Source organism: Homo sapiens, chromosome 14, assembly GCF_000001405.40.
Source record: "Homo sapiens chromosome 14, GRCh38.p14 Primary Assembly".
Lineage (NCBI taxonomy): Eukaryota > Metazoa > Chordata > Mammalia > Primates > Hominidae > Homo > Homo sapiens.
Genome location: NC_000014.9, coordinates 60,213,251 through 60,225,394, shown reverse-complemented (window position 1 = coordinate 60,225,394; position 12,144 = coordinate 60,213,251). Strand labels below are relative to the sequence as shown.

Genomic DNA, 12,144 nt, shown 5'->3' with positions numbered 1-12,144 from the left:
TTAAGCCACTAAATTTGTGGTAATTTGTGACAGCAGCAATAGGAAACGAATCCATATACTTTACTTCTCTAGGGTCTTGGTTTGCTGTTTATTGCAATCAGGTGATATTTTCAAATGTAATTAAATAATGTTATTTTTATTCTAGAAAACCAGCTGATCATGAAAATCACTTGAAAAGCTTTCCAAAAATACATTTTCCTGAGCTTCATTCCTAGATATTCTACGTTGAGAATTATTGCTCCAGAGTAAGCACCGATTGAAGGGAGAGCCCACTCTGAAAAGATGGACCATTAAAGCACAAATGGCAACTTTTAGCTCATTTCTGATTAAGGTATAATTTTAATTAGATCTTTATAATCAGATTGATTTTTTTTAAATCTAGGATTTGGACTTCTCCAGCGCTCATGAATTTCCATTTTGAGGACCTTTCTCTGCTCAATAAAGTTGGATGAAAGAAAGGGTCATAGAGGGCAGCTGATTGCAATGGTAAAACTTCCGTGGAACTGTGAGTAGGCACTGACATCACCAGTGCCACACTGAGTAGGGGATTGTATTAGCTTCCTGGAGCAGCTATAACAAAGTACTGCAAACTAGGTGACATAAACAACAAAAATTTGTGTGTCACAGTTCTGGAGGCCTCATTTTAACCTAACTAATTACATTTGCAAAGACCTTATTTCCAAATAAGGTCACATTCTGAGGTGGGAATTAGGGCTTTAACAAATAAATTTTGGGGGGCACAATTTAACCTACAATGTGGATCCAATTTGACCTGGAGACTAAAAGCAAGGCTTGTCAAGGGCATGGGCAGGGTAATAATAATAGCAGTTATCTTTTATTCTTGTAGGGACTGTCCAAGGTAGGTGTTTTTATCCCCACCTGACAGATGAGGAAATGGAAGTTGAGAGGGGCTAAGCGATTTCTCCAAGTTCGCACAATTAAGAAGTGGTAGAGCTGAGTGCACACCCAGGTTTGTCTGGCTCCAAAGCCCAAGCTTTCAACCACTTTGCTCTGCCACCTCCAGGAATAGTCAAAAGAACAGAAGACCTGGTTTCTAGGCCCAGTTCATCCACATAATAAACATTAGACATTCAACAAATCATTTAGGTTCTCTAGGGCTTAATTTTCTCTCCAGTAAAATGAGCCTAATAATAATATATGAGCAAGTACAAGTACTTCATAAACCACAAAGTGCCCTGGCACCGTAAGGAATATTATTAAGAGCAACATCAGCATAAAGCAAAGACAATTAATATACACAGTGGAGAATGACAATATATTTGTGCTTCCCAGGTTTTTAGGAGTTTGTGTCCCTCCACCCTCCTCTCGTCAGTCCACACACCTATCTTCTGATCTTTCCCCCAGTTCAAAAATCCTGCCCTGGGTGGACACATGACTTTTGGGTTACCTTTTAATTTTTTAAAAATTCAGTTTCCTAAGTTAAAACCGTTGTTTTATTGAGACACTTCTTTGGGTTGTTGTGAAAAAGGTACAGCAAATCTTCCCTTTCCTTTGCCAGTTGAAGATCTATTACCGAACTGCGAAAAGCAAACATGCAACTAAACAAAAAACCAATTAGTCCACTTGACAGTTTCAGATAAATCTATTTTTTCTAATATAGCTTTTGTTTACTTTTTTGATAAAGGTAAAAATATATGCTCATTATGGAGGATTAGGAGATACAAAATAAGTATAAAGAAAGTAAAACTTACCATATTCAAGAGAAAGCAACCATTAGCATTTTGGTTATTTATGAAAAATTAGATGATTGTTGAACATTTTCCTTTTTAATTTTATATCATATGAGTATTTTAACATGTCTTTTAGTATCCTTTAAGAGCAAGATTTTAATTGCTATATAATATTCCATATTATAATCCATTTAATCAATTTCTTATAGGACATTCAGATTTTTTCCTTGTTCTTGGTACTCTCAACAGGGCTTTGAAAAATATCCTTTTATTTAAATGTGCACATTTCACACTATTCAGGGAACGGGTACACTAAAAGCCCAGACTTCACCACGATACAATTCATCCATGTAACCAAAAACCACTTGTACTTCTAAATCTTCTGAAATAAAAATAAAAATAAATGTGCACATTTCTAATGATTTACGTAGGGTATGTCCCAAGAAGTAAAATTACTAGGTTGGAGAGCTTTCTCTTTATATTGCTTTATCAATCAAGCAACAGACACCACCACAAGAATTTATTTATTCAAAGTATTGGGCAGCCCACAGGTTTGTCAGGAAAGCTAGAGCCTCAGACTTAGAAAATGGGCAGGAATGCAGGAAGCCCGTGCAGCCAGAGCCCCAGCCAAGTCTTTGCTGCAGATCCAGTTCAGCGAGGACTCCTCTGCCATTGCCACTGAGGCCTAATGAGAGCCTGCCACTGCTGGCACTGGGCCTGGTTATTGGACACTGGACACCATACACCACGCTGGCAGCTCTGCCCTGGCAGCTCCTGGAAACTGGATGTTGCTGCTGCAGCCAGAAAGAGTTCTGTTGTCTTCCAGTTTCTCGGCATGACTAGCAAAAGACACACAATCTTAGATTGTCACATCTGAGTGCCCAGGCCCAGGAGGTGGGAATGAAAGTATCTGGTGTTTGTCCCTCCAGGGACATGAGCCCTGTCTATCTTACCACCAAGACTCACAAGATAGGAAAGCCCACTCACTGTTGGTTTGATAGGCAAAAATAGTGCCTTACTCTTACTTTAATTTGCATGCATTTGTTTGCTAGAAAGGATGAACATTTTGCATAGGCCTATTGGCAATTTGTGATTCTTTTGTAAATTACCTAATCATATATTAGAATGACTTTTCTATTGGAATAGTGAGCTTTCTATTGGGGAATTTATCTTTATCTTTTTGGTAAGAGCTCTTTTAACAGTAAGGCTAGAAACACTTTGACCGATACATATGTTTCATCTTTTCCCCAATTTGACCTTTGACTTCACGTAGGGATTTTTAATTTTGGCCTGCAGAAGTTTACCTATTACAAAATAGGTAAACTTTATGTTTTCTTAGTTTGCTTTTAAACTTAGGCCTTCTCTAGTCTGAAGTTAGATAAATAAACACCTAGATTTTCTGACTAATCTAAATAAATCTAATTTTCTAATCTTCAGGTGAACTGATTAAATGGTCATAAAGCTGCAGAAGGAAGATCTACATCCTAAAATATAGGAGGAAGCCACCACAATTCAGTTGATGCAACACAGGAATGATGTTCTTTTCCCTTCATGGCTCCTGAGGGCATGTCAAGGCCTACTGCAGAAACCGAACATTAGAAGTAGATTGATCAGGCCAGATACCGTGGCTCACGCCTGTAATCCCAGCACTTTGAGAGGCCGAGGCAGGCGGATCACCTGAGGTTAGGAGTTTGAAACCAGCCTGGCCAACACGGCGAAACCCCATCTCTACTAAAAATACAAAAATTTAGTAGGGCGTGGTGGCATGTGCCTGTAGTTCCAGCTACTGGGGAGGCTGAGGCAGGAGAATCGCCTGAACCTGGGTGGCGGAGGTTGCAGTGACCTGAGATTGTACCACTGTACTCCAGCCTGGGCAACAAGAGCAAGACTCCATCTTAAAAAAAAAAAAAAAGAAAAAGAAAAAGAAAAAGAAGAAGTAGATCAATCAGTTGATAATGTACTCTACCATGAGCACATTTTAGTCAGCTTAAGCATTGCAAGAAAGTGAAAAAAGTAAGTGGCCTCTCAGAGTAGTGGGGTTTTTTTTTTTTTTTTGTAAAGGGCTACTACTAGCTGACTATCCTTTTGACAGACAGTTGAGTCACCACAGCAAAAACTCTCTTTACTCTCAGAATATGTGTGGATAACCCTCAGAGTGGCAGGGTAAATGTAGTAAAATATTAAAGAGGACTTGGAGAACATTAATGTTGCTAGAGAAGGAAAGTGATCATTTCTTTTTACTGACATTGAAGAAGTTGTTTCTGAAGCTTCCCCTCACTGTCGGTGTTGGTAGAGTAAGAGGTGGTGGTCTCTTGCTAAGTGTGAAGAACTGGAGGTGGGAAAGTGTGGGACATGCAGCACCTAGCACTCCAGAAGGGCAGCAGAAGCAGTGAAAAATTTGCAGGGAATAGGTGCAGCTTAGGGGTGCTAAAGAAGGGGCACAAGAACTAATACTCGCAGGATTCACTTTAGGAACAGTGCGGCCATAGCTGTTTTAATCGCCTCCTCCTCACCTCATTGACGAGGGAGGGTTTTTTGCTCTAGGATCACGGGAATGCGAAACACCCAACCCCCAACACCAGCCTGATGAGATCAGCAGCAGTATGTTAGTCACATATGCTTACAGCCCGGGAGGACACTGGATGCCATGCAGGGCCGCATATGGGGGTTGCACTTGGGAGCAGAGTGAACAGAGAGGGGCTGTTGGAGGCAAGCTTTCTAAGATCAAGAGGATATGGTGCCTCCCGATTCCCACAGGAGGACGTGATTTGCTTTTTTGAATACTGTGGACTGAACCCCACTACTCAGGGATAAGCAGGAATGGTTCTTGGCCACTTTAACGAAGACTGTTTAGATAGGAGACCTCATCTACAAGAGCAGAGTGAGGAGGGGAACTTGCAGTTAGGCCATTCAAGTACCTCCAGATTTTACAAGATGTCAAGGTAGCACACAATATCGAGTGCCTTGATTTTTGGCCTTGTACCACAATGACACTTAAGGGATTGATTGGTTCATGCTGGGTTCCAGGGGCTATAAGGAGAGAAACTCAGGTCTTGGGCAGAAGTAACTTTCTTCCTCCAGAAATCAGGGATCTCAAAACAAAATGGCAGAAACAAAATAAATGATTAAGACAGGTTTGCGTTCGAAGGATTGCTCTGAGAAGGATCCTGCCAACAGTAGCCATCAAGAGACTGCTTACTGCCCCAGATCTATACCTGGTCAATTGAGTAAATAGAGACACCACCTATCTGCAATTTAACTCACCCTCTATAAAAAGTATTTTTTCAGCCAATGTTGTACATGTTGCACTGCAAGGAAAAGGCAAAGAGAAACTAAATCCCATGAGCCTTGTCTCTAGAGACCCACATAACCTGTCACTTAGGTAATGGGAGTGGAAAGTTACCTTGGTAAGCAGAAAGAGAAACTTGGTAAGCAGCCAGAGAAACTTTTGGGGGCTTCCCAGGGTTGTTTTGTCATAGTGTGGCAAAAGGTGCTGGGGTGGTAACTTCTAAACAGGCCAGCCCTATCTTGGATCTAGGTTTAGCAACATAAAGTACAAGTTCCACGATATTTAATATTTCATCAAGTGTTTGATGAGTACCTTCCAAATACTCAGAATGCTGTGTAAGTTTGCATCAGGACTGATCCCTTCCCTCAAGGAGCTCTCAATCTCCTAGGGAAATAACATAATTTTATATAAAATGGCAATGTGTAAATACATTCCAAGATGAAGAGCATGGAAAAAGAATGTAGTAATAGAAGTCAGTATATTTTCCTTATAATTGTATTGCTTACATTTTATGCTTTAAATAACTTATTGTACAAAACACATTATAGGACAAAACACATTATAGGGCAAAACACTTTCTTGACCTGTAAGCTGAATGTCTTATGTACCCACAAACTAAATAGTGGTTAAAGTTTCTTTCTGCTTTAAAATGTGCCCATTTTAGTACAAGTACTTGCAGATACCAATTAAGGTGTGTGTGGAGGTACACGAGGGAAGTCTCCTCACTCACTCTTCACTGTTTGTCACTGTTTGACAGCCCCTGAGTCTGAAGGTGTACAATCTCTCTAATCCTTCAGCCAACCTTTCTGTGGCCATTCTCCCTGTTTCATCTCAAGTCACTTAGGAGATACCTGGGGGTGACAATTGGAGGAATAAATTAAAGTGTGGTCATTTGGAGAAGTCAGACAAATCCAGAAGGTCTAAGCTATTTGGAGATTTTCCTAATAAACTTTCCTAAGTGGGACATTTCCCACTTTAGCCAAACTTCTATTTAAGCGTACAGTTTGAATCAGGTTATGTTTCTGTCCCTGCTATCCACAGAACTTGGTCACATTAGTGTCAGCCCTGGAGAGTTCTGCCCCAACTCCAGGTCATTCTTGGTCCATAGTCCGGTGGTGGGCAGTCTTGGCTTGTCACAGTTAAAACTGGGGCTTTTAACTCTACAAGTTCAGGCCCTGTCCCTCAGAAATTCTAATTTAGGGATCTGGAGTTTGTCCTATGAAATCCACATGTGTCAAGGTTGAAATGAACAGATACCCATTTAATGTAAAGGGAAAACCTTAAACAATTATAACTGAGTAACAATGTAATCACCTTTCTGTGAACTCATTGTTACTGGAAGTTTTCTAGCAGAGGCTACACTTTTGAACTATCAGTCCTCTTTCTCCATCATAAAACATAACTATACCCTAAGCACCCTTTCTACATTATCTCATTAATCTGCACAAATTTCCTGTAGGGAGAATGTCATTACTATTCTCATTTTACAAATGAGAAAAGTGAGATGCAGAGTGTAAATGATTTGCCTAAGATCAAACAGCCAAGAAAAGATGAAGAAAGGACTACCGCGAAGGTAATTCCTGATCTACTACCCTATGTGTCCTCAATCCTGTAGATATGCCCTGGCCCAAGGAGATGGCAGAGAGCCTAGGCCACTTGTCAGTTTATTCGAGGACCCTTAGATTTGATTGAAGATCAGGGTGGGAAGGGGTGGGGTGGCCAGAGCCAGAGATTACACTGCTGCAGGTTTTCCCGCTAGTCCCACCTGCTTATGTACCTTGAGCCCTTGAGTTCTGCTGGGCAATCTATATAGAAATAACTGCTATTATTTACTGAGAGTTTACCATGTGCCCAGCACTGTGTGAACTGCTTTACTTATAAGAGCTTATTTAGTTGCTGCAACAACCCCATGAAGAGGGAATTAGATCTTCATCTTGTAGATGTGGAAACTGAGGCTGAAAGTCTTGCCAGGGTCATACAGCAAGGCCATGAATCAAATTCAGGTATATGTGTGCTCAAAAGCCTGTGCCCTACAAAGGGATTGTTTTGGAGACAGTGATGTTCTGAAGGGCAGGGAGGACCTACCGAGAGTAGTTGTCCCCCTCGGAGTCTCTCAGTGTAGGCCAGTGAATATCCACTTGGTTAGACTGAGAGTGTACCCTGGGAGCTATTTCATCCCCCCAGATGACAGTTCACTGGGACATAGCGACCCCGAACCGTTATCAGATGTAAGAGACTCCAGGATTTCTGAAATGCAGACACAAGTTATAGTAAGTTTTGTGTGGAGATGGAAAGAATTGTGTGTGTGTGTGTGTGTGTGTGTGTGTGTGTGTGTGTTTTGTGTGTGTGTGTGCATGCCTGTATGTATGACATGTACATACACACATGTAAGTGTATGGTATAGAGAATGTCAGGAGAATGGGGTTCTAGCCCTGTCTGCCACTCTATATTCAAGAAAGTCCAGAGAGGAAGTAGGGCAGATCCAGGGCTTTTTGAGGACACGCTTTCACTCTGCACATGAAACAGGATGCCAGACTCTAAGAGCTTCTAAAAGGCCTTGAAACCAACTCCCCGGCTTCCAACCTCCAGCTCAAGTACTCTTTGGCAGCTGTGAATTTCTCAGGCCTCACTGGTATCACCAACCCATCTCCCTGGGGGTCCCGGAACTTCTCAGGAGTCTGGGGTCTGGGGTGCTGGCACAGAGGCCCATGGGGGCCACAGGCTTGTGCTCCTGGGATATCTAAAATCCACTACCACATCTCAGGACTCAGAGCCCCAGGAAACCAGGACTTCCAAAGGCTGCTTTGGCTTTCCCTGCTGTGCTTAGGACAACAGGCTAGTTCAAAGCATGAAAAGGAAAATTGTGTCCACACTTGGTACTCAGAATGGCTACCTTTTGGTCCACTGCTATACTTTCTGACACGAAACATTACACTTGCATTTGTCATTTCCCTGCTACACCCTCCACCAGAGTCTGGAATCTCACAGAAGCGCCAGCTTTGGGGAGGGAGTCAGTAATGTCAGACAGCAGTCTTCAGCAGCTTGTTAGTTTGGCACATGGCTTTGGACTCAGACGGACTTGGATTTAAATTCTGACTCTGCCCCCAAGGAGCTTGATGGTCTTGGCAGGCCACGTGCTTCTCTGACCTTTGTTTCCTCCTCTGAAAAACAAAGGCACTAATGCCTGTCTGTGTGGTGACCTGACACAGCCCCTACCTGGGACCTGGCAAGTGCCCAACACACAGAGGTGCTGCGATTTCAGCTGCACTGAGAAAGGACCCTTGGGCCAAAAGAAATCTTTCCCCGACAATTTTCTGACATGATCTGGCTTTTATGCACCTCTTTAGCCTCAAACAGGAATGGTACCCGCACTCTGCTTCCTTGAATACCACCATGATCTTTGTCACTGCTGTTCCCTCTTCCTAGAACGCTGTTCCCTTCAGGCCTCCACTCTGTTCATCCAGTTAGCACCAGCTTCCAGGTCTCCTCAGTTACCTTGAAGAGAACCTTTAAGGGCTCCCCTGGCTCAGCTTTGTTCTCACTTGTGCGATTATTTTAAAGATGTTTGTTAATTAATTAAACAACAAACCATGGATGAGACAAACATTAAACAATGTAAACTCCATGAAGGTGCCTGTTTTACTCACCAGTGCCTGGTACATACTAGGTCTCAGTAGCTATTTGTTGAAAGAAGGAATGGATGAGAAATGCAATCATTTAACTGAAAGGAGTACAGTTGTCACAATGCTAGTGCTCCCCAAAATATTAGTAGTTATTCTGAAGTCAAAAAGAGGTACATGGTCAAATTGGACACTTCGGGCAAAACAAAATTAGACAGGTTTCTTCTCAGTAGAACTTCTCAACATCTTAATATGCTAATGTGCATTATGAATTTCTAGTGGGAGGAGGCTTAACACCAAACAAGGAACCTCCTTTGTCATTTACACCTCACTGTGAATGAGTTTAATCAAAGCTTAGCCAGAGAGTAAGTGACGGGGAAGTAGAAGTTCCAGGCTCTGAAGGCGAGGAACTCTGCCTGTCTTCAGCCTGCCCCCAAATGCAGAGCCCCTGGGCTTCTGGGAGCAAAATCCACTTGAATACATGAGCAGCTGGCCTGTTCATAACTCACCCCTACAACTGAATCTTGGCACAGCAATCTAAACCTGGACCTAAATCTAAATGGCAATCTAAAGTTGTCATTACTGCTATTTTTACCAAAAGACCTCTTTCTTACATCAGCCATGGAGGGATTTCATCTAAAAAAAAATTTGCTGTTTATCTTCTTCAATAAAAAGTGACTTTGACAATGTGGTGTAAGGTTGATGTGTCCCAAGAAACAGACCTGTTCCCTGTCTGGATTTGTTTTCTTTTATTGCTTTTTAAATCCAGCATTCCTCTTTTCATTTCTGGCTTAAGCTACAGGGCAGTACTGGTTTTGCTCAAGAGGAGTCTCTATTTGGAGTTGATTGAAAAAACAAAACTGGCTAAAAGAAGGATCAGGACAGTCCTAAATATAATTAAAATAGAAATAAAAGGGCGACACATAAACCAGATGGGTATCCAAACCTGGATGGTTTCTGTGTTCCAAACATTGACTCTGAGTAGCTGTATTTGAATGCAAGAATGGAGCAATGCCTGATGCCTCACAATGGATGGAGAATGTGAATGAGGTTGGATAGAACAGAGCTGAAATGTTGACTGCTGTGATTCATGGTGCTTCCAAGATGGCGCCATCATAACAGAGTTAGTATTTACAGGCAGGGCAAACTGCAAAGCAGGGAGAGTTTATCTCTAGTTCTTCTTTCTTCAGTTTCAGCAGGGAAACTCAGATTGCCCTCTCACTAAAGGTGCCGTTGTTGCCTCTTGGTTTTCTTTGGCCTAGCATGTCAATTATTTTCATCTCACTCATTCAAGATCCTGATCCTGGTTTTAAAACTAATCCAATAAACCAATTCACTAGCTAATGGATGATAGTTTAAAAATGTGACTTCCTCCTTTTACCTAAGATATTTGTATTTTAACAAGGGTCATCTGGTTGATATCAAACAAGTCACTCTAATGGTGAAAAGTCAGGCAGTAGGGAGATGCTTCTGCGTAGATTGCCCTGCAGTTCCTTTCAAGATCTACACAGAGGCAGCTGTCTGCTCTGGCTGGGTAGGATTGGCTCTGTTACAGATCTTTGCTGTGCAGTAAAGGTAGGTTAAAGGGCAGCACCGAATGGCACAAGAATAGAAAACAGCACATGGAGATGGTATTTTGTCCATGGATTGGGGATTACTATCCTAAGCAGCCAGGATTTTTCCAGTAGAGTTTTATACAATAAAATAAATGTGTTCTGCACTTTTAGTGTTTAAATAAACATGGAGGATTTATTTCTAGCTGTAATGTAAATTGGTGATGTAGAAAGTTATGAAAAGAGAATGCATCCAAAAACTTAAGACCTCCTGGTTTCTGTCACTGCTCTGTGTGCTTAAACAACACTGATTTCTACATAAATAACTCACCCCTTAGAAAATATATGTAAGATAATTTACTCTAAGAATTTTCCCCTTAAAAAAGTACGTTTACTGTGAGCAAAAGTTTATGGAAACTAGCATGAGTAAACCAAGAGCAAAGTGCAATATATGTATGTATAAATATATAATGTATTCTCTGAATCTTCTAATTTTCTATATTTGTGTTTGAAATTATAATCAAAGGCCATGACCCAAGATATCCATTCCTAAAATATACCCTGAATTAGTGGCTTTCCAACCTTCTTCTACTTTGACCTGCAGTAATAAATCCATTTTACCTTGTGATCCAATACACACACACCCTGAAATAAAAATGTCATAAAACAAAGCTAATGCTTGTTACATGCAATAGCTCTAGTATTTTTATTCTATCTTCTTCAATTTCTTTTTTCCTTCTTGTTTTCTTAAAAATTGATATTACTAGTTCACCAGCAAATTGGGACCCACAGTTTGAAAAGCACTGCCCCAGAAACTCACACATACATAAAATGTTTATAGCAGCACTGTTCGAAATAGCAAATAAGTAGGGAAATGTGTATGGCTAATGATAAACATTGTGTATCAAAATGGAGCATGACTTGGATTGGGAGGTTAGAAAAGGACTTTTGAGGAAATGACACTTACATTTAGACTAGAGGGTAAAGCCTGGTAAAGAGTATTGGACACTGAGCAGGCTTTGAGTAAGCAAAACCTTGGCACCCTCCAGGAACTGAAGAAGGCTAACGTGGTAGGGCCATAGCCAAGGAGAGAGACATGTCATAAGATTGGGATAGTAGGGATAAATTGTGCAATGTTTTGTAGGCAATATTGAGGATGGAGGATTTTTATTTATCTAAGTGCAGTGGGTAGTCATCGAGGGGTTTTAAGCTGGGAAATAACACAATCAAATTTATCTTTTTAACCATTGCCCTGGTTCCTATGTGAAGAATGGATTAGAAAAAGGATCAAGGGGCCAGGCACAGTGGCTTCTGCCTGTAATCCCAGCACTTTGGGAGGCTGAGGTGGGAGGATCACTTGAGCCTGGGTGTTCAAGACCAGCCTGGTCAACATAGTGAGACCCTGTCTCTCCAAAAAAATTAAAATATTACCTGGGTGTGGTGGCATGCACCTGTAGTCCCCTCTACTCCAGACGCTGAGGCAGGAGGATTGTTTGAGTCCAGAAGTTTGAGGTTACGGTGATTTATGATCATGCCACTATATTCCAACCTGGTTGACAGAGCAAGACCCTGTCAAAAAAAAAAGAAAGAAAGAAAGAAAAAGCATGGAGGAAAACCAGTTAAGAAGCTATTGTAAAAGTCTGATGGCTTGGATTGTGGTGACAGTGGAAACAAAGATAAGTGGATTACAGGGAATATTTTAGAGAGATACATCTATGAGACTCAGTGATGGCTTAGTTAGGATTGAAGGTAGGGTTGAAGGAGGGAGGTGAGGTTGAAGGTAAGGGCTATATCAAGGATGACACACCCAGTATTCATGCTAGAGCATCTAAGTAGGTGAAGATCTTATTTATTGATGTAGAAGACCAAAGGAAAGCACATTTGAGCAGGCAAGGATTAAGAATTTGGTTTTGTAAATCTTAAATCTGAGATGTCTCTGAGACCTCCAAATAGAGAATTCAAGTTATCAATTAGCTACGCAAACCTGGAGC

General features: G+C 41.3%; 1 annotated feature.

Moving 5' to 3' along the window:
• Nucleotides 5,007-5,246: an enhancer, noted in NCBI's record as "active region_8472". NCBI's record gives its function as "activates an Ori minimal core promoter by ATAC-STARR-seq in GM12878 lymphoblastoid cells {active_cell/tissue: GM12878}" and the evidence as "EXISTENCE:reporter gene assay evidence [ECO:0000049][PMID:35858748]".